Consider the following 22,549-nt stretch of genomic DNA (forward strand, 5'->3'; position numbering starts at 1 on the left):
GAGGCAGGAGAATGGTGTGAACCCGGGAGGCAGAGCTTGCAGTGAGCCGAGATCTCACCACTGCACTCCAGCATGGGCGACAGAACAAGGCTCTGTCTCCAAAAAAAAAAAAAAAAGAAAGAAAAATCTCTAGCCGGTCGCGATGGCTCACGCCTGTAATCCTAGCACTTTGGGAGGCTGAAGCAGGTGGATTGCCTGAGCTCAGAAGTTTGAGACCAGCCTGGGCAACATGGTGAAACCCTGTCTCTACTAAAGTACAAAAAAATTAGCCAGACATGGTGGCACACTCCTATAATCCTAGCTACTTGGGAGGCTGAGGCAGGAGAATTGCTTGAACCCTGGAGGCAGAGGTTGCAGTGAGCCGAGGTTGCTCCATTGCACTCCAGCCTGGGTGACAGAGCATCTTAAGAAAAAAAAAAAAAGAAAAACTCTAAATAAATATTGAACTCTGCTTAGTAGGGATTTTGTTTTCAGATGAGGTCTTGCTCTGTACCCCAGGCTGGAGTGCAGTGTCACGATCATAACTTACTGCAGCTTCTCCCTCCCAGCTCAAGCAATCCTCACATCACAGCCTCCCAAGTAGCTGGGATTATAGGCAAGTAGCAGGGATTACAGGCATGCAATACCACACCCAGCTGATTTTGGTATTATTTGTAGAGACGGGGTTTCACTGTGTTGCCCAGGGTAGTCTCTGTCTCCTGGGCTGAAGTGAGCCTCCTGCCCAAAGTGTTGGGATTACAGGTGTGAGCCACTTTGCCTGGCCTAGTAGGTTTGTTTTTCACAGTGATAGGGGTTAGCAATTCTGAAACTACTTACTGTTCTTCTAAGATTGAGCAGATAGGTAAGTATAGTGTTAATAGTGAGAATCAAGTTTTCTTATTGTCAGAAAAGGGTGTTCCTATGAATGTGGACAGTGGGAAAGGCTAGAAGGAGCCATGTGGTATTGGATTGGAATTGAAGTTATCTGGATGAACTCATGGTTTCTTATACGTAGATGTAGTAATAGATGTATGTGTGTATGCATATCCACTTTTACACGTGTTTATTTCCTAGAATTGTTTCCTAGAATTGTTGAGAGGGTTTATGCCCAGAGACATCCCAGAAGCACTGAACGCACTCATGCCAAGATGTTAATACCTTTCCTCACTAAAGAGAAACCAGGGTTCCTTGGAGAAATGGCTGTTTCCAGATCTGGGGTAGGAAAATTACAGGTGAGCTTGGAATATCCTGCTATGCCAGAAAGTAAGGAAGTGCTCTAAGAATGATAGGGGCATGTCAAAAGAACAAGAAGAATAATCAATTAATGTAAACAAGGAATTATGAAGATAACAAAGTCTATCTTTGACTATCACCATAGTAGTAACAATTGTTTCAATCAAGAATCAAAGTGCTAAAATCAATGGGGAACAGTTTGCGGTGAAACAGTGTAGATGTTTCCTTATCAGATGCTTTTATGCTATGCCTGGTGGCTCACCCCTATAAATCCCAAGAGGCTGAGGCAAATTGATCACTTGCACCCAGGAGTTTTGAGACCAGCCTGGGCAACAAAACGAGACCCCATCTCTACAAAAAATAAAAAAGTTAGCCAGATACAGTGGTGCATGCATGTAGTCCTAGCTACTCAGGAGGATGAGATGGGAGGATCGGTTGAGCGCAGGAGGTCGAAGCTGCAGTGAGTTGTGATTGCACCACTGCACTCCAGCCTGGGAGCAAGACTTTGTCTCCCCCGAAAAAGAAGATGCTTTTAAATGAATTACATAGAGAGACATTGGAGAACCCTGGCAGGTTGTACCTCAGCTGAGTGATGAAATTAACAATCTAGGGATGGACAGTTAGACCTCATGCCTCTTGGAATATGTAACCCTGGGTTGGATCTGAGAATAGAGGAAGGTTTTTTTTCTTTTGCTCTAAAGGATGTTAGTGGAACAATTGGTAAAAAGAGGCCCCGGCGTGGTGGCTCACGCCTATAATCCCAGCACTTTGGGAAGCCGAGGCAGGTGGATCACCTGAGGTCGGGAGTTCGAGACCAGCCTGCCCAACATGGAGAAACCCCATCTCTACTAAAAATACAAAATTAGCCAGGCGTGGTGGTGCATGCCTGTAATCCCAGCTACTTGGGAAGCTGAGGCAGGAGAATCGCTTGAACCCAGGAGGCGGAGGTTGTGGTGAGCCGAGATCGCGCCATTGCACTCCAGCTTGGGCAACAAGAGCGAAACTCTATCTCAAAATAGTAATAATAATAATAAAATAAAAAACAAATAAAAAGGTCTGTAGGTTAGATAGCAGTACTGTTTCCATGTTATTTATTTTTACAGTTATGATAATTGTCTCATGGTTATTTAAGAGAATGGTTTTTGTTTTGTTTTTCTTGTTTTTTCTTTTCCTTTTTTTTTTTTTTTTTTTTGAGATGGAGTCTCACTCTGTCGCCCATGCTGGAGTGCAGTGGCATCATCTCGGCTCACTGCAAGCTCCACCTCATAGGTTTACGCCATTCTCCTGCCTCCCCCTCCCAGGTAGCTGGGACTACAGGTGCCCGCCACCACACCTGGCTAATTTTTGTATTTTTGGTAGAGATGGGGTTTCGCCATGTTAGCCAGGCTGGTCTCGAACTCCTAGCCTCAGGTGATCCTCCCACCTCAGCCTCCTGAAGTGCTGGGATTATAAGTGTGAGCCAGTGCACCTGGCCTCTTTTTTTTTTTTTTTTTTTTTAATTTTACAGAATTTTTTTTTTTTTTAAGACAGAGTCTTGCTCTAAGGCTGTAGTGCAGTGGTATGATCACAGCTTGCTGCAGCCTCAGCCTCCTGGACTCAAGCGATCCTCCCACATCACCCTTCTGAGTAGGTGGGATTATTGTAGGCTAAATTTTTAATTTTATTGTAGAGAGGCCTCACTCCATGGCCTAGGCTGGTCTTGAACTCCTGGGCTCAAGTGATCCTCCCACTTCTGCCTCCCAAAGCATTGGGATAACAGACGTGAGCCACTGCACCCAGCCTGTTAGATAATTTAGAAAATTTTCTTTCCTCATTCTTCAATTTCCCCTCATTCACACTCCCAACTTTCCTGTTTTGTGATTTTTAAATGACGTTGTCTTTGGATGCCGGCTGGATTTGGTGATTAGTTCTCTTCAGAAGAAACTTCTTATTTTAGAACTTGTAACCTTTGCAAAGCAGGCCATAGGCAGCCATCGCTATTTGGGTATGACATTCCCCAGTGGGTTTTTGGTGTCCAGTAATGACAAAAACTGCTGAGAAAGAGACAGCCACAGGGAAATGGGTTCCGATAATGGGGCAGCAGCTGAGTGCTTGTTGATTTGCTGCTGTCATGACCACAGATGTTTAAAAATAATTTGTAAGGAAAAAGAAAAAAGCGTAGTGTGTGTGTGTGTGTGTGTGTGTGTGTGTGTGCGCGCACGCACGCGCGCGCGCACACCACTGCCTTATCAGTGGTAGAGAATGCAGACCACAGTCATTCAGAAAGGAAGAAGGCACCACCATGGAAACAGGAGAGGTGAGGAGAAGGGCAGAGGTGACCCACAAATGCGGCTCAGTGCCTTACAGCAGAGAGCTCATGAGAGAACAGAACTGGTTAGTCACCGACTCTGCTCCTCGGTCTGCAAGAGAGGTTCAGCACCAAGTCTATACTACACAGTACTGGAAGGATTAGATGAAGGCCTGGCACACATTGTGAATTAATAGTTACTGGTTACAGGCGGGGTGTGGTGGCTCAGGCTTGTAATCCCAGCCCTTTGGGAGGCCAAAGTGGGAGGATTGCTTGAGGCCAATAGTCCAAGACCAACATGGGCAACATAGCAACACCCTGTCTCTTTTTTTGACTGTTTTTTTGAAACAGTCTCGTTCTGTCAGCCAGGCTGGAGTGCAGTGGCACAATCTTGGCTCACTGCAACCTCTGCCTCCCAGGTTCAAGCAATTCTCCTGCCTCTGCCTCCCGAGTAGCTGGGATTACAGGTGCCTACCACCACGTCCGGCTAATTTTTGTATTTTTAGTGGAGATGGGCTTTCACCATGTTGGCCAGGCTGGTCTCAAACTCTTGACCTCAGGTGATCCACCCACCTTGGCCTCCCAAAGTGCTGGGATTACAGGCGTGAGCCACTGTGCCTGACCGGTTCACGTACTTTACATGCATTGTGATCATATTAAATCTTCATGACAGCCTTACTAGATCAGGTCTTGTCCTGTTTTCACATGAGGAAATTGAATCTTGGAAGGGCTAAGTCATTTGTCCAGGGTCATCACACGCAGTAAGTGTTAGAGTCTAAACGAGCCAGAGCTGTCACACTGTCATCCCCAGGGCCTTGTGTTTAAGCATCGCCCAACAAAGTGCTCAGTCAGACTTTAATTATTAGCATTACTAATAATACCATTATGATGATTATTTTGTCTAAACTTCACAGGCACCTCGTGACATTTTCTTATTCCACTTTTGCAGATGGGAAACTGAGGCCCACCAAGATCAGATTACAATAATGGGCAACATTGTCAGCAACCTGCCTTGCTTTTTTTCTTAGCAGGCCCACATCTCCCCCACTCCCCCACCCACTTGGCAGTAGCCTGTGTTTGAGCTGCTCACAGGCCCCAAGGCCCAGCTGCAATTCTTGTTTAAAGCCTCACATCTTTTCTCTGACTGTCAGACAACAGTCACGGGAATGTCCTGTGCCATCTTCCCTCGGCAAGAGGGGTTGGCAGAGAGCAGCAGATGCCTAGAGTCAAGGTCATGTGCTGCTCAAGTGCTGGGCTGGAGACAAGACCCTCTCTCCCTGCTGCTTGTGACCAGGCAGGGTGGCTCTGAATGTAGAGGGCTCTGTCAGAACAGTTCTGTGACCAGAGGGTGTGGTTGGCAAAGCAATGCATTAGGGGCCCATGGAAGTTTATTCTTGTTGTCCACATTATTTCCCTGTGACTTTTAGATTTTTTTTTCCTTTTTGTAAATTAGTTTTTTCATACTAGTTAGAATGTTTCACCTTAAAGGTGAGAGTCAAGCTCTGGAATCGCCTGACATTTTTAAGGAAAGGAATAGAATATTGGGCTGGGGCTAGTCTGAAATGGTGGTTTGTATTATTTTAAATTGATGGGCTCTGGGTTAGGGGAGCCAAATCCATTTTAAAGTGATTTTTGTAAAAATTGGCATGTCTTCTGTTTCTTCTCTTTTCCAAAGGTGACACTATAACGTAGAGGTTAAGAATGTGGTGACTTTTAAATCCGTCGTGACCATAAGCCTCTCCTAAGCCCCAGTTTTCCTACCACTAAAATGGGGGTGGTAACAGTTGTACCTACCTCATTCTGTCTTTTTTGTTTTTTGCTTGTTTGTTTGTTTTTTAGATGGAGTCTTGCTCTTGTCGCCCAGGCTGGAGTGCAATGGTGTGATTTTGGCTCATTGCAACCTCCACCTCCTGGGTTCAAGCGATTCTCCTGCCTCAACTTCCCGAGTAGCTGGGATGACAGGCACCCGCCACCATGCCCATTTAGTTTTTGTATTTTTAGTAGAGATGGGGTTTCACCACGTTGGCCAGGCTACTCTTGAACTCCTGACCTCAGGTGATCCACCCACCTCAGCCTCCCAAAGTGCTGGGATTACAGGCGTGAGCCACCACTGCCGGCCTCGTTCTGTCGTATTTTTTTACGTAGGAGAGCTCAGTCTGAATGTAGGATATGACATGGTTGTGGGGTTTTTTTTGTTTTTGTTTTGTTTTTGTTTTGTTTTGTTTTGTTTTGTTTTGTTTTGTTTTGTTTTTGAGACAGTCTCACTCTGTCCCCCAGGCTGGAGTGCAGTGGTGTGATAGCTCACTGAAACCTCTACCTCCCAAGTTCAAGCGATTCTCCTGCCTCAGCCCCCAAGTAGCTGGAATTACAGGTGCCCACCACCATGCCCAGCTAATTTTTGTAGTTTTAGTAGAGATGAGGTTTCACCATGTTGGCCAGGCTGCTCTCGAACTCCTGACCTCGGGTGATCCACCCGCCTCGGCCTTCCAAGTACTGGGATTATAGGCGTACTTGGAAGGTACCATGCCCGGCCATTATATGCTTTTTAAAAAAACCTAAATGTTGCAAAAAACATGTGTCTAAAATCTCTGTTTCAACATAGTTTTTTAATAGCCATGTAATATTCCATTCTGTCAATATGTCTTTATATGTGGTACAGACTGAGTGTCTAAATCCAAGAACCCAAAATCTGAATTTTTTTTTATTTTTCATTTTTATTTGTTTACTTATTTTTGAGACAGAGTCTTGCTCTGTCACCCAGGTTGGAGTGCGGTGGTGTGTCGGCTCACTGCGACCTCCACCTCCCAGGTTCAAGTGATTTTCCTGCCTCAGCTTCCCAAGTAGCTGGGATTACAGGTGCCCGCCACCATGCCTGGCTAATTTTTTGTATTTTTAGTGGACACGAGGTTTCACCGTGTTGGCCAGGCTGATCCTGAACTCCTGACCTCAAGTAATCCTCCCACCTCTGTCTACCAAAGTGCTGGGATTACAGGCTGAGCTACTGCGCCCAGCCTATTTTTGTTTTTTTGAGACAGAGTCTCACTGTGTCTCCCAGGCTAGAGTACAGTAGCCCCATCTCTGCTCACTGCAACCTCCGCCTCCTGGGTTCAAGTGATTCTCCTGCCTTAGTCTCCTGAGTACCTGGGATTACAGACGTGTGCCACCACACCCGGCTAATTTTTGTATTTTTAGTAGAGACAGGGTTTCACTATGTTGGCCAGCCTGATCTTGAACTACTGACCTCAAGTGATCCACCCATCTCAGCCTCCCAAAGTGCTGGGATTACAGGCATGAGCCACCGCACCAAGCCCCCAAAATCTGAAATGTTTTGAGTGCCGACATAACACTCAAAAAAATGCTTATTGGCCCCGGGCGTGGTGGCTCATGCCTGTAATCCCAGCACTTTGGGAGGCCTAGGTGGGTGGATCACCTGAGGTCAGGAGTTCAAGACCAGCCTGGCTAACATGGTGAAACCCCGTCTCTACTAAAAATACAAAAATTGACCAGGTGTAGTGGTGGGTGCCTGTAGTCCCAGCTACTAGGGAGGCTGAAGCAGGAGAATCACTTGAACCCAGGAGGCACAGCTTGCGGTGAGCCGAGATCCCGCCACTGCATTCCAGCCTGGGCAACAGAGAGAGACTCTGTCTCAAAAATAAAAATAAAAAAAAAATAATAAAAGCTCATTGGAGCATTTTGGATTTGGGATTCTTAGATTTGGGGTGCTCTATTGGTAAGTACAATGCAAATATTTCAAAATCTGAAAATACCCAAAATTCAAACACTTCTGCTCCCTGACATCCTGTGTAAACAACACTGCAGTGAACATTTATAGGTAATTCATTCAGCGGGTAAGGGTCAGGACCTTTTATAGGGATCCTTAATACCACATTTTTACATGGTTCATTGAGCATTCGTGCTCCCCTCTGCTGTGGGTGAGGGTGCAGGTCCCTCAGCCTTCTTGCTTGGGTTGAGTCATCCTGGTCTTTAATTTGGTAAGCAAAAAATGGCATCTTGTTTTTGAGCTCGTTTCTGAGAAAGTGCATGCTCCTTTTCCCCATCAACAACTTTCATCCGGCGCCTCGGAACCTCTTCAGTAGAGAGTGAGATGCAAATAGCGAGGCACAGCTTCTTTCCCTCTTCTGAGCTGATGCCTGGTGAGGTCATAGACTGGGTTTCATTGCAAAGACGAAAGCGTGGGCAGGACTTTTGGAGCACAAAAAGGGGCATTTCAGAGTAGTCTTCATGGGCGGCCACTCCAGAGGTGAAGTTTTCTAGAGAAAGACATGAAAGTACTGTGTGGCTGTGGCGACAGACAGAGGCTTACGAGCCTGCCCTCTAGAGACTGTGAGCTCCGCGTGTGAGGGCAAGGCCTGGGGCTGTCTGGGTCGCTTCTGGGTCCCCACCACAGCTAGCATAGGGTAGGGGTGGAGGGGGGGTGCTCAGGAAGTGATTTTTGAAGAGTGGATGACTGAATACATGCACACACATACTTTTAAGTTTCTGGGTTAAAGAGGAAAACAGAATGAGGTAAACAAAGGAAAGTAATGTGGAGGTGAACTGAGCAGATGGCAAGATGCCGTGAATGGTTAGAGGCCAGGAGAGCCAGAATCAGAGTGGCTTCCGTGAAGTGTCCCTACCTCCTCCCCCAGCCCAGCTATGTCACTCCTCTGAGCTTCACACCTATGGACTGTTCTGCACCCTAGCCCTCAGATGCAACGGTGAAAGTGGGACTCCTATTGGGTTTCCCTGTTGAGGACAGACATGGTGCCCTGTGTATCTGCTGCTGCTTTTTTCTTTTTTTCTTGCTGAGTATTCCATGTGTAGCATGTTTGTAACACTTGATAAGAAACAGAACCATCCCAGATAGCTTGAACACTTTTCAATTCAGTCAGTAACAGACCAGGTCTGCTTTGGATTTCCAGGAGCTTGTGTCACTTTATTTTTTTTCTGAGCCAGGGTCTCGCTTTGTCACCCAGCTGGAGTGCAGTGGTGCAATGTCAGCTCACCACAGCCTCTGCCTCCTGGGTTCAAGCAATTCTCGTACCTCAGCCTCCCAAGTAGCTGGGACTACAGGTGCCTGCCACAACACCCGGCTCATTTTTGTGTTTTTAGCAGAGACGGGGTTTCACCATGTTGGCCAGGCTGGTCTCAAACTCCTGACCTCAGTTGATCTGCTTGCCTTGGCCTCTCAAAGTGCTGGGATTACAGGCGTGAGCCACTGCACCCGGCCTCTGGATTGCCCGGCCTGTGTCACTTTGTCATGAGCCCTTCTCCCCTAGTTATCCTTTATTCTTCAAACAGGCTTCCTGTGTGACATATTTTTTGAGTGCCTGCTATGGGGCAAGCCCTGTGCCAGGTGTTCAGTATAGAGTAGTGACATCGCCTTTGCCCCACAGAGCATAAAAATCTAATGGAGGAGACAAGCCAGTCCTTGTGCTAGTTCATTTCCACAGGTGAATATAAAACCACAAACTGGGCAGGGCATGGTGGCTCACGCCTGTAATCCCAGCACTTTCAGAGGACAAGGCAGGTGGACAACTTGAGCTCAGGAGTTTGAGACCAGCCTGGGCAACATGGTGAGACCTCGTCTCTACAAAAAATAAAAAATGAACCACCAGGCATGGTGGTGCATGCCTGTAGTCCCAGCTATTTGGGAGGCTGAGGCAGGAGGATCACTTGAGTTCAGGAGGTCCAGGCAGCAATGAGCTGAGATTGTGCTGCTCATTCCAGCCTGGGTGACAGACTGAGGCCATGTCTCAAAAAAAAAAAAGAAAAAAATAATCACAAACTGTGAGTAAGGTATCTAAGGGAAAAAACTGTGCTGGGAGTGAATGTCAGGAGACAGGGAGATCTGAGGCAGTATCGTGTCCAGAGCCCACAGCTGAATTAATGGTAATGCAGGTAAATGAGCTACTGTGTGACACAGGTTACCACAGCAAGTGTATCGGCTTTTCTAGGGCGAGTGTGAGCTGGGTTTCTGGACTTTGCTTAAGAGCAGTGACAGACCTGGAAGATACTGCCCCAGGCACTCTTGGGTGCTTTACATGTATTGGTTCATTTAATCTTTAAACCCCACAAGTGCCCTTGGGATTCCCATTTTGCAGAGGAGGCTCAGGGTCCTTGTCACTTGCCCAAGGTCACAGTAAGTGGAAGAATAGGGAGTCTAGAGCTGTGCTCTTCGCTGCTGCCCTCCAGTTGGAAAGCTGTCCAGGCCAGGGACAGGCTTTGCAGAGAGAAGGTACAGAGGACGGGACAGGCAAATATTCAGAGACTATGAGGACTGAGGTGGTTCTGCCAACTGTGGAGGGCCTGGTCACTTGACAAGGCACCTCATTGCACCCCCCTGAGGCTCTCTCAAAGCCCCTTTTCGAGTTAGGACATTGTTATCTCCTGTGTAGTTTTTGTTGATTGCCCTCTGAAATGCTGTGAGAGGGTAGACCATCCATTCTGCCCTCGCCTGCCCAGCCCAGCACCTGGCACAGTCATTGCTCAGTGTATATTTATTGAATGAACAATTGACTGAATGTCAGGCCCAGGGCTTTGCCTTAGGAAACAGGCTGTTGGATAAGAGGTAGTACTACCATACTTTGCAATTTTTCTGGAAATTTATGTCACCTGGGAGTGGAGCAGATTACCAGGCTGTTTCCAGAGATAGCGACTCTCCATAAAGTGAGCCAACCTGGGGGCTGGGCGCAGTGGCTCACGCCTGTAACCCCAGCGCTTTGGGAGGCTGAGGCAGGCGGATCACGAGGTCAGGAATTTGAGACCAGCCTGACCAACATGGTGAAACCCCATCTCTACTAAAAAATATGTATATAAATGAGCCGGGCGTAGTGGTGCGTGCCTGTAATCCCAGCTACTCAGGAGGCTGAGGCAGTAGAATCGCTTGCACCTGGGAGGCGGAGGTTGCAGTGAGCAAAGATCGCGCCACTGCACTCCAGCCTGGGTGACAGAGCGAGACTCTGTCTTAAAACGAACAAACAAAAAAAACAAAAGTGAGCCAACCCTGGGGAGGAGTCTACGTTCAGCTGCAGGGAGCCAGGGAATTGGGGCCGAGGTGTCTGGCACAGAAAAGCTTTGGGCCTGTCTCAGGTAAATGAAGTTTTGATATAGATTCAACTCCCCTGCCCCCCACAATTGAACTGTTTTTGGGGGCCAGCAATTAGGGGCTAATTTGTGACAGTGACTTTATTTTCTTCCTACTAAAGTACTGGTTTATTCGGTGGCCTTGGTGATTAGATTTAGGCATAATAGTTAAATGTAATAGAAGTTTATGTAACAAACAGTGATTAATAATGTTGCTGTCCAGATTCCCGTTATAGCGCTAACCTGATGTTATGAACTGAGATTAAATTTGAATTTGAGTGCTTACATTATTTTGTAAAGGTGGTTGTATATTCACATATCCACAGTTTTTTCTATAAATAACGTGAAACCGTGCTTGGTTTCTCTTTTCCAAAGTTTGCCTTTTCCATTACATGGGCAAGTCCTGAACCTAAGCCGAGACACTAGTCCATCATCTCCAGCAATGAATGTCATCCCCCCAGACTTCAGCATCCTGAGTTAATTAAAAGGTGCAGATGAAGTTAATCAAGTTTGGAACTCTAATTTTGTGCAGTGTTTTGATACGATTTGATGAGTCATCTTTTGGTAGAGCACCTCTCTATCCCTGACAGTGTTTGATCTTAACGGAACAGTTTTATAATGTGTAAACTGGTGGGAGGTGCTCTTCAGAAATGCAGTCAACAGTGGTATGTGTGCGTGTTTGGCTCTTGGGGCGGGGCGGAAAGCAGAACAAAGGAGAATTTAATAAGCGAGAACTTGTCAGGGGCTAGGGTCAGTTCTGAGGCTGCTGCCTGTCAAGAACATGGCTTTCTTCCTGCCCCCCTCCACTGCTGCTAACTGGAGTCTGACCTTCGAGAAAGAGTGAAAAAAGACAGCTTCTGTTTGTTTTGCTGCAAGTAAGTGGCTGGACTGATTGGCCCCCTTCCCAGAGGCCCTGCAAGGACTTCAGATGTGGTCAGCGAGGTATGTGGATGGTGCCAGCCTGCCGGCCCTCGTCCAGCCAAACTGCACCAGGAACAGGCAAGGGTCCCAGAGAAACAGCGGGGTCAGCTGCTGCCGCCTTTGCTCCTGCTCTTAATGCTGTCCTATTTCTTCCTAAGAGGAAGCTGGTTTACTCTCTCAAGATTGATGGGCAAAGTTTTATATGACCACGGTCTCCACTTCTCACCCACTGAACTTACAGCTTGAAATTAACAGAGGCGAGGCCCATCTGGAAAAATGCATTTGACAAAAACTTGATCAAATGGGGGATCCCCTGAGGTGGGTGGCAAAGAACCAGACCACTTGGAATCCTAGGTGCTGTGTCCCTGTATGGACCTGCTGTTTCTTTTGGATTCCATTAGGGTTAAGAAGCACAAATTCTGAAGCTAGATTTGAGTTTACATTTCTGCTCCAGTACTTGGGAGTTACAGTGACCAAGTCATTTAATGTTTCTGAACTTCAGTTTCCTGATCTGTAAAGTAGGATGGGTAGGTTGGGCGTAGTGGGTCATGCCTATAATCCCAGCACTTTGGGAGGCTGAGGCAGGAGGATCACTTAAGGTCAGAAGTTCGAGACCAGCCTGGCCAACATAGTGAAGCCCCGTCACTAGTAAAAATACAAAAGTTATTTGGGCGTGGTTGTGGGCGTCTCCAGCCTGGGTGACAGAGTGAGACTCCATCTCAAAAAAAAAGAAGAAAAACAAAAACAAGTAAATAAATGAATAAAAATAAAGGAATCCAGCCATCTGTTAGTATAGCCAAAGCAGAGGATATTGCATCAAATGTTAAACGCTAGTCCTGTCAGTCACTCCTGAGAGAACAGGGCAACAAGACCCAGAAAGGGTATCAACACTGCCTGAGCAGATGGAGGCAAAGCTGTGCATGGGCTGCTTATAGGGCACAGTCTGAGGCCTTGCAGCAGTCACGTGGAAACTGAGGCTGCCTGCTTTCCAGGTGCAAGGTGATGGACAGTGGCAGGAACCCTGTGCTAGATGACTCTTGTGCGATCTTATTTCTTTGTTACTGGGACACAAGCACCAACTGTCACAAGGGACCAACAAGAGGAGGTGATTTTTTTTTTCAGCTGTTACCACAAAGCTTTTCATCTTTTGGTTTGAAAACATAGCTGTGGGAATAGGCCGGGCGCGGTGGCTCACACCTGTAATCCCAGCACTTTGGGAGGCCAAGGCGGGCCGATCACAAGGTCAGGAGATCGAGACCATCCTGGCTAACACGGTGAAACCCCGTCTATACTAAAAATACAAAAATTAGCCGGGCGTGGTGATGGCCGCCTGTAGTCCCAGCTACTCGGGAGGCTGAGGCAGGAGAATGGCGTGAACCCGGGAGGCGGAGCTTGCAGTGAGCCGAGATCGCGCCACCGCACTCCAGCCTGGGCAACAGAGCGAGACTCTGTCTCAAAAAAAAAAAAAGAAAAAAGAGAGAGAAAGAAAATATAGCTTTGGGAGCACCAAAGCCCAAAGCGTTATAGTGCCTACTATGTGTCAGGCACTATACTAAACATTTCACATGGCTTAGCACTCATGTGATCTTCACGATAACCTGGTGAGCGGGTAATTATTATCACCCTTCCTACTGGTTTGTTGTTGTTGTTGTTGTCGTCGTTGTTGTTTTGAGACAGAGTCTCGCTCTGTCACCCAGGCTAGATTGCAGTGGCACGATACCGGCTCACTGCAACCTCTGCCTCCTGGGTTTGAGCGACTCCTGCCTCAGGCTCCCGAGTAGCTGGGATTAAAAGCGTCCGCCACCATGCCCAGCTAATTTTTGTATTTTTAATAGAGATGGGGTTTTATCATCTTGGCCAGGCTGGTCTTGAACCCCTGACCTCGTGATCCACCCGCCTTGGCCTCCCAAAGTGCTGGGATTACAGGCATCAGCCACCATGCCCGGCTACTTAATTTATTTTTTGAGACAGCCTCTCTCTGTAGCCCAGACTGGAGTGCAGCGGTGTGATTTCGGCTCACCGCAACCTCTGAATCCTGGGTTCAAGCAATTCTACTGCCTCAGCCTCCCAAGTACTTGATTATAGGCACCCACCACACTTTCGGCTAATTTTCCTATTTTTAGTAGAGATGGGGTTTCACCATGTTGGCCAGGCTGGTCTCAAACTCCTGACCTCAAGTGATCTGCCCACCTTAGCCTCCCAAAGTGCTGGGGTTACAGGTGTGAGCCACTGCACCTGGCCTCCTTTATTTTATGGGACATTTTTTGAAAAGAGGCTTGGTCCAAACAGGCAGTACTTGCCACTTCTGCAGTCATTTCTCTACCCTGCCCCAAAATGGTTACTCAGTTGCATTTATTTACTACAATCGGAATACCAGCAGGACATCTACAAAAGTAGAAGTATTGGGTGGTAGCAGATCAGTGCTCTCTGGCATCCAGATCGTCTAGATGGTCACAGCCTTTTTTTTTTTTTTTTTGGAGACAGAGTCTTGCTCTGTCGCCCAGGCTGGAGTGCAGTGGCACAATCTCGGCTCACTGCAACCTCCACCTCCCGGGTTCAAGAGATTCTCCTGCCTCAGCCTCCCGAGTAGCTGAGATTACAGGCACCCACCACCATGCACGGCTAATTTTTTTGGTATTTTTAGTAGAGATGGGGTTTCGCTGTGTTGGCCAGGCTGGTCTTGAACTCCTGACCTCAGGTGATCCACCTGCCTCAGCCTCTGAAAGTGCTGGGATTACAGGCATGAGCCACCACACCTGGCCAATTGTTACAGCTTTGAGTTGACTGCCAAGTGTTGAGGTAGCATTGAGGGTTGCAGAAGCTGTGTTCTTGAAAAAGAGAAGAGAGTAACATTCTCAGAAAGCAAACAGTATTCAGAAGAGTCAATGGGTGTTCTGGAGCTTTTTTCTTTTCTTTCCTTTTTTTTTTTAAAGAAATTACCAGCTGGGTGCTGTGGCTCACGCCTGTAATTCCAGCACTTTGGGGGGCCAAGGTGGGAGGATCACCTGAGGTCAGGAACTTGAGACCAGGAATTTTTCTATTTTTAGTGAAACCCCATCTCTACTAAAAATACAAAAAATTAGCTGGGTGTGGCTGCAGGCACCTGTAATCCCCAGTTACTTGGCAGGTTGAGGCAGGAGAATGGCTTGAACCCGGGAGGTGGAGGTTGCATTGAGCCGAGATCACGCCATTGCACTCCAGCCTGGGCAACAGAGCAAGATTGTCTCAAAAAAAAAAAAAAAGAAAGAAAAGAAAAAGAAAAAGAAATTACCTCTTCTCTGATATGCAGAGCCCCGTCTATACTGGACAGGTGGAAGTTACCAGAGAAATACAGGCCAGGGGCCTTTGTCTGACATTGGCACTGAGAAAAGCATAGCCCAGAAGCAGGGTGTGTCTTTTTTTTTTACCTGGGCATCTGTGGTTTGAGATCTTCTTGGAACACTTTATAACCCATTTCTGAACGTCTCCCAGGCTTCAGTGGAGCCACCTGTTGTAGCTTCTAAAACTGTGTCCTCCTCAGTTGTTCTCCCACCCATTGCCTTCACAGATGCAGAGACCAAGATTCACTCACTCGCCATTGGACCTTTAGCACCCAGGTCTGTCTGGCACAAAGTAAGTGCCAGGCTGGTGGAGTGAATGAATTCTACTTAGAGAATGGCCCTCAACACAGGCTGCTCATTACCAAAACTATTTGGTCTTTAAAAAGTGTGACTCTGATGCTTCAGTCTGGGGTGGGTACCAAATACTTGTATTTTTTAAAGAGCCTCACAGCAACTTGAATTTACCTTAATTTTTATGTAGGAACCCTTGTCCTGGTAGAGAGTATAATTTGCTGAATAAGTCTACTTTTTCAATCAACATATACGGAAGAGATATCAATGAAAGAACTGACAAACTGTAAAGCCCCCTCTCCAGGTGTAAAGCACTCAGGGCTTGGGCCTAGAAGCTGATCCATGTCTCTGTGTCTGTTCTGAAATAGCCTGTGTGATGTGGGAGAAAGAGTATTGTCCTTAGAGACAAGGCTCGAGACTGGCTGTGCCCTTTCCTTGGGCAGTATGTAGGGAACAAGAATGCCTGCCCGCCCGCAGGCAGGTTACCTGTGGACAAGGTGTAGTGGGCAGTTAGAAGGTGTTGGTATGTTAATCAGTCTTTTTTTTTTTTTTTTTTTTGAGATGGAGTTACGCTCTATCGCACAGGCAAAGTGCAGTGGCGCGATCTCAGCTCACTGCAACCTCCCAGGTTCAAGTGATTCTTCTGCTTCAGCCTCCCAAGTACCTGGGACTACAGGCGTGCGCCACCACGCCTGGCTAATTTATGTATTTTTTTAGTAGAGACGGGGTTTCACCATGTTGGCCAGGCTGGTCTCTAACTTCTGACCTCGTGATCTGCCTGCCTCGGCCTCCCAAAGTGCTGGGATTACAGACGTTACAGACGTGAGCCACCACACCTGGCCAGTCTTTTTTTTTTTTTTTCTGAGATGAAGTCTCACTCTGTTGCCCAGGCTGGAGTTCAGTGGCACGATCTCGGCTCACTGCAACCTCTGCCTCCCGGGTTCAAGCGATTCTCCTGCCTCAGCCTCCTGACTAAGTGGGACTACAGGTGCCTGCCACCACGCCTGGCTAATTTTTGTATTTTTAGTAGAGACCGGGTTTCACCATGTTGGCCAGGTTGGTCTCGAACTCCTGACCTCAGATGATCCACCCGCCTTGGCCTCCCAAAATGCTTGGATTACAGGCGTGAGCCACTGCACCCAGCCTAATTAGTCTTTTGCTCCTATTTGTCTTTATTTGGGATAAAAGTTATAGCCTTGTTGGGGTCTTCTTACACAGTAGTTCTGACTCACAGCCATCATCTGAACCTTTCCTCTGGTTCACAACCAAAATTAAACATCCATTTATGGGGATTGAGATAGTTTTCATAGTAAAGGAAGTTTTGTTTGTAATGACCTTCCTGTTTGATGGGTCTAAGTATATGGCTGGCCCTTCTGGCTAAAGCAGGCTTTAAACTGGTCCTGCCTAGAATGTGTACCTCCCACTCCTTATCATCTCTCTTCTAGGTCCCTTCCCCTTTCCCTTTCCCTTCCCCTTCCCCTTCGCTTCTTCCTTCCCTTTGTTCCTTTTCCTTTCCTTTTTTTCTTCTTTTTTTTTTTTTTTTTTTGACAGGGTCTCACTCTGTCACCCAGGCTGGAGTGCAGTGATGAGATCTCTGCTCATGTAGCCTTGACCTTCTGGGCTCAAGTGATCTTCTGCCTTGGCCTCCTTAGTAGCTGGGACTACAGGCACCACCATACTTGGCTAAATTTTTTTTTTTTTTTTGGTAGCAGTGAGGTCTCACTATGTTGCCCAGGATTATCTCAAACTCCTGGGCTCAAGCGATCCTCACGCCTTGGCCCCCCAAAGTGTTGGGATTGCAGATGTGTGCCATCACACTCTGCCTCTTCCGGGTCTTTTTTTTTTTTTTTTTCCCAGACGGAGTCTCGCTCTGTTGCCCAGGCTGGAGTGCAGTGGCACGATCTTGGCTCACTGCAACCTCTGCCTCCTGGGTTCAAGCGATTCTCCTGCCTCAGCCTTCCGAGTAGCTGGGATTATAGGTGCCTGGCTAATTTTTTTTATATTTTTAGTAGAGACGGGGTTTCACCATGTTGGTCAGGCTGGTCTCAAACTCCTGACCTCGTGATCCTCCCACCTCGGCCTCCCAAAGTGCTGGGATTACAGGCGTGAGCCACCGCGCCTGGCTTTTTTTTTTTTTTTTTTTTTTTTTTTTTTTTTTAATTTTACTTTTTTGAGACGGAGTCTCACTCTGTCACCCAGGCTAGATTGCAGTGGCACAATCTTGGTTCACTGCAACTTCCGCCTGCTGGATTCAAGTGATTCTCCTGCTTCAGTCTCCCAAGTAGCTGGGACTACAGGCACGTGTCACCACACCTGGCTAATTTTTGTATTTTTAGTAGAGACAGGGTTTCACTATGTTGGCCAGGCTGGTCTCGAACTCCTGACCTTGTGATCCACCTGCCTCGGCCTCCCAAAGTGCTGGGGTTACAGCTGTGAGCCACCGCACCCGGCTCTTCCAGGTCTTAATAGAGCCTTTTTCCTCTACTGAAAGCTTCCACTGCTTTCTGCCCCCTTCAAACTCATATATACTTCATTGAATTGTTTCCTCGGGGAAGCCTTCCTGATACCACCCTACAGAGGGTGTCAGACGCCCTATTATGCTGTCACAGCACTTTTCACAGTAAGGTAAATTGCTTTTATAATTATTGGATTGCCTCTCTGACTATGTTTGTTGAATAAATAAAAAAAGGTGGCCAGGTGCCGTGGCTCACACCTGTAATCCCAGCACTTTGGGAGGCCGAGGCGGGCGGATCACGAGGTCAGGAGTTTGAGACAAGCCTGACCAACATGGTGAAAACCCGTCTCTACTAAATATACAAAAATTAGCCAGGCATGGTGGTTCGTGCCTGTAGTCCTAGCTACTCAGGAGGCTGAGGCAGAAGAATCACTTGAACCCGGGAGGCAGAGGTTGCAGTGAGCCAAGATTGTGCCATTGCACTCCAGCCTGGGCGACAGTGTGAGCCTCCATCTCCAAAAAAAAAAAAAAGTGGCTTTATAACCTGCCTTCTTTTTCTTATTCCCAGTGCTCTTAAAGTTCCGTACAGATAAAGGAAGAGATCCCAGTTCTGATACATATGAGGAAGATTCTGAGTTGTTGCTCCAGATACGAAATGATGTGCTTGACTCACTGGGTATTAGTCCTGACCTGCTTCCTGAGGACTTTGTCAGGTTGGTGTCAGTATTTATCACTGTTTAGTCTGGACAGATAAAGTTTGTTTTCAGGATTTGCCTTAATTTGACAAGCTCTTTTATTAGAAACCCTTCAGAGAGCACCCTGCCACATTCTGCTCGCTCCTGTAGACTTCTGCCTCTCCACTAGAATAGCAATATATAAAAAATAAAGAGGGGACAGATTCTGATTTTTACAATAAGTATCTTATATTCACGTGGTTCAAAATTCAAGGCAATGTAAGATCTGTAAACATTATTCTCTACCTTTTTTCACTTTATGTGATCTTGTTATCTCTTGGGGACATCTCCAGATCAGTACATAGTTTGCTCCCTCTTTTCCACAGCTCCTTAGTATTCTAGAGTGTGAAGCGATGGAGTTTATTGAACCAGTTGCCTGCTCACTCAAGTTGTGTTCAGGCTTTTCTAACTGCGTAACACTGCAGTGTGTGACCTTGTGTCGTACGTGTGCAGGTACAACTGCAGGATAATTAGGAGGAAGGGAGTTGCTGGGTCAGAAGGTTGTAATTTATCATTTGGTCAGCATTGCCACCTTGCCTCCATTGGTATCCTATCAATTCATACCCCCAGCAGCAAAACCACCCATGTTCCCAGCATCCTCTCACTTGGACACTCCATGCTTTCACCTTACGTGACTACCTTTTTGCTCTCATAAACAGGCTTAGGATTTGATTGGAGAAGACCACATAGTGACTAGGTCACAATCTCTCTCTCTCTTTTTTTTTTTTGAGACAGAGTTTTGCTCTTGTTGCCCAGGCTGGAGTGCAATGGCACAATCTCAACTCACCGCAACTTCTGCCGCCTGGGTCCAAGCGATTCTCCTAACTCAGCCTTTTGAGTAGCTGGGATTACAGGTGCCTGCCACCACGCCCAGCTAATTTTTTTTGTATTTTTAGTAGAGATGGGGTTTTCCATGTTGGCCAGGCAGGTCTTGAACTCTTGACCTCAGGTGATCCGCCTACCTTGGCCTCCCAAAGTGCTGAGATTACAGGCATGAGCCACCACGCGCTCCATCCACATCTCCTTCCAAGCAGCTCTGGGATCATGTACACACCCTAATTCCCTTTCCATGTCTTGAGAGGCTTCCTAAACTCGGCTTTGCAGTGCCTCCAGCTTGTAGCAGTGATAATGATGGCTGCAGTTTACTGAGCAGCTGTTATGTACTAGGCATCAGGTAGTAAGTAGCCAACCCAGATCCCACCCCAGGTATCATTACAGTGCTTGCTCTAGTAGCAGCATGCTACCTTGGTTTCTTATCAACAGTAAGGTCTGCCAGAGTCCCTAGTCCTTTCTTTGTTGACTTCCTGCTGGGAACTTCAGGTGAGCAACAGCAAACCCCACTCCATTTAGGGCCAGCAGTGGTCTTTGAAGCACCTGTGGTGCCCTGACCCAAAAAGCCATGATTGTCCTGGTACAGTGGCTCACACCTATAATCCCAGCACTTTGGGAGGTTGAGGCAGGCAGATTGCTTTGAGCTTAGGAGTTTGAGGCCAACCTTGACAACATGGTGAAACCCTGTCTCTACAAAAAATAGAAAAATTAACTGGGCATCGATGACTGGTGCTTGTAGTCTCAGCTACTCTGGAGGCTGAGGCTAGAGCATCGCTTGAGCCCAGGAAAGCAGAGGTTGCAGTGAACCAAGATTGCACCACTGCATTCCAGCCTGGGTGACAGAGAGAGACCGTGTCTCAATACATATAGCGTAAGGCTGGGCGCGGTGGCTCACGCCTGTAATCCCAGCACTTTGGGAGGCCGAGACAGGCAGATCATGAGGTCAGGAGATTGAGACCATCGTGGCTAACATGGTGAAACCCCATCTCTACTAAAAATACAAAAAATTAGCCAGGTGTGGTGGTGGGTGCCTAAGTCCCAGCTACTCGGGAGGCTGAGGCAGGAGAATGGCGTGAACCCGGGAGGCAGAGGTTGCAGTGAGCTGAGATCACGCCACTGCACTCCAGCCTGGGCGACAGAGCGAGAGGGAGACTCCTTCTCAAAAAAAAAAAAAAAAAAAAAAAGGCAGCAATAGAGTGGCAGTGCCTGAGCACACGAGACTGAGACATGGAAAAGCGGTTTCCCCAAAGAGGGTGGGCAGGGAAGGAACCACTTTGGAGAGAAAACCAGCCAGCAGCTCGTTAGGCTGTGGCTTTCCTCTTCTAGGAAGCAGGGCCTTCAACTCTGCTGGCCGGTGATGCAGAGCCAGACCGTTCATCACTTTGAATGCCCAAGTAGTCACTTGGCTGCACACTCACGGCCCAGCACACAGCCCCAGGTATGCTCAGTGGCTGCCGCTTGCCACTGGCTGACTGGCTGGGATTATTGGAACTGAAGCCCTGCATGACCCAGTCCTTCTTCCTGCTGCGAAGCACAGCAGAGGAAACACTTGCTTCTCACAAACTGGTCATTCCTCCACCAAGAGATGAGTGCCCCAGTGAGTTACCATGAGATCCAAGCCTGTACAGTGTCATCAGCCGCTGACCTCACGGTGCTGATGTTACAAAGGCACCTTGTAAACTGCTGCCTATGTTTAGATGATGGCTTTTTTTTTTTTTGGAGACAGAGTCTCGCTCTGTCCCCCAGGCTGGAGTGCGATGGCATGATCTTGGCTCACTGCAAGTTCCGCCTCCCGGGTTCACGCCATTCTCCTGCCTCAGCCTCCCCAGTAGCTGGGATAACAGGCGCCCGCCACCACGCCCAGCTAATTTTTTTTGTATTTTTTAGTAGAGATGTGGTTTCGCTGTGTTAGCCAGGATGGTCTTGATCTCCTGACCTCATGATCCACCTGCCTCGGCCTCCCAAAGTGTTGGGATTACAAGTGTGAGCCACCACGCCCAGCCTCTTTTTTTTTTTTTTTTTAAGATAGGGTCTCTCTCTGTTGCCTAGGCTAGAGTGCAGTGGCACATCATAGCTCACTGCAGCATCAACCTCCTGGGCTCAGGCAACACTCTCATCTCGGCCTCTTGCGTAGCTGGGACTATAGGCGTGTACTACCAAGCCTGCCTAATTTTTTTTTTTTTTTTTTTTTTTTGTATTGACAGGGTCTCACTATGTTCACCAGGCTGTTTCCTATTTTTTAAAGTTATGAACCGCATAACAAGAGAGTATACAAAGCACATCTGCCTGAGTTAAATGATAATTAATACTTATTTATTTTTGTTGTAGAGACGGGGGTCTCACTCTGCTGCCCAGGCTGTTCTCAGACTCCTGGATTCAAGCCATCCTTCTGCCTTGGCTTTCCAAAACTTCTGGGATAGACAGGCGTCAGCCACTTGTATCTCTTTTAATTTGGAATAGCCCTTGGCAAACTGGCTTGCCACCTCTTTTTGTAAATAAAGTTTTATTGGCACACTTACTCATTTATATATTATCTGTGGCAGCTTTTGTGCCACAGCAGGGTTAAATAGTTATAACAAAGACCATATGGCCCATAAAGCTGAAAATATTTTATTATCTGGTTCTTTTGTTTGTTTGTTTGTTTTTGAGACAAAGTTTCACTTTGTCACCTAGGCTAGAGTGCAGTGGCATGATCTCGGCTCACTGCAACCTCCACCTCCCGGGTTCAAGTGAATCTCCTGCCTCAGCCTCCTGAGTAGCTGGGATTACGGGCATACGCCACCATGCCCAGCTATTTTTTTTTATTTTTTTATTTTTTTTATTTTTTTTTGAGATGGAGTCTTACTCTGTCACCCAAGCTAGAGTGCAATGGCCCGATCTTGGCTCACTGCAACCTCCGCCTCTGTGCTCTGTGGTTCAAGTGATTCTTCTGTCTCAACCTCCTGAGTAGCTGGGACTACAGGCGCGTGCCACCACGCCCGGCTAATTTTTGTATTTTTAGTAGAGATGGGGTTTCACCATATTGGCCAGACTGATCTCAAACTCCTGACCTCATGATCCACCCAGCTTGGCCTCCGAAAGTGCTGGGATTACAGGCATGAGCCACTGCACCTGGCCTGTTATCTGGTTCCTTTTTTTTTTTTTTTTTTTTTTTTTTTTTGAATCAGAGTCTTGCTGTGTCACCCAGGCTGGAGTGCAGTGGCGTGATCTCGGCTTATTGCAACCTCTGCCTCCCAGCTTTAAGTGATTCTTTTGCCTCAGCCTCTGGAGTAGCTGGGACTATAGGCACGTGCCACCACGCCCAGCTAATTTCTGTATTTTTAGTAGAGACGGGGTTTCACCATATTGGCCAGACTGAACTATTCCTCCAATACGGCCAAAATGAGATTCTACCAGCAATGGGAGGAGTTTT

The 22,549-nt window shown here is 47.3% G+C and overlaps 1 protein-coding gene across 4 annotated transcripts in view, besides 2 other annotated features; it reads left to right on the forward strand.

Annotated features, from left to right (window-relative positions):
- SAE1 (SUMO1 activating enzyme subunit 1) overlaps positions 1 to 22,549 on the forward strand; it is a 79,802-nt gene that overhangs the window by 48,258 nt on the left and 8,995 nt on the right. For 2 of the 4 annotated variants that reach the window (NR_027280.2, NM_005500.3), the window contains exon 7: positions 18,141 to 18,285. The exons of the other annotated variants lie outside the window; for them this stretch is intronic. Coding sequence is in view for 1 of the 2 variants with exons in the window: in NM_005500.3 (NP_005491.1) it covers positions 18,141 to 18,285 (145 nt within the window). In the remaining variant the exon portion in view is untranslated. The remainder of the gene's footprint in view (positions 1 to 18,140; positions 18,286 to 22,549) is intronic. 4 annotated transcript variants of the gene reach the window in all.
- Positions 7,661 to 7,930: an enhancer, noted in NCBI's record as "active region_14860". NCBI's record gives its function as "activates an Ori minimal core promoter by ATAC-STARR-seq in GM12878 lymphoblastoid cells {active_cell/tissue: GM12878}" and the evidence as "EXISTENCE:reporter gene assay evidence [ECO:0000049][PMID:35858748]".
- Positions 9,998 to 10,764: an enhancer, noted in NCBI's record as "H3K27ac-H3K4me1 hESC enhancer chr19:47692347-47693113 (GRCh37/hg19 assembly coordinates)". NCBI's record gives its function as "activates a minimal SCP1, AML or CMV promoter by ChIP-STARR-seq in primed H9 embryonic stem cells {active_cell/tissue: H9 hESC(primed)}" and the evidence as "EXISTENCE:reporter gene assay evidence [ECO:0000049][PMID:30033119]".

This window comes from Homo sapiens, chromosome 19, assembly GCF_000001405.40.
Source record: "Homo sapiens chromosome 19, GRCh38.p14 Primary Assembly".
NCBI lineage: Eukaryota > Metazoa > Chordata > Mammalia > Primates > Hominidae > Homo > Homo sapiens.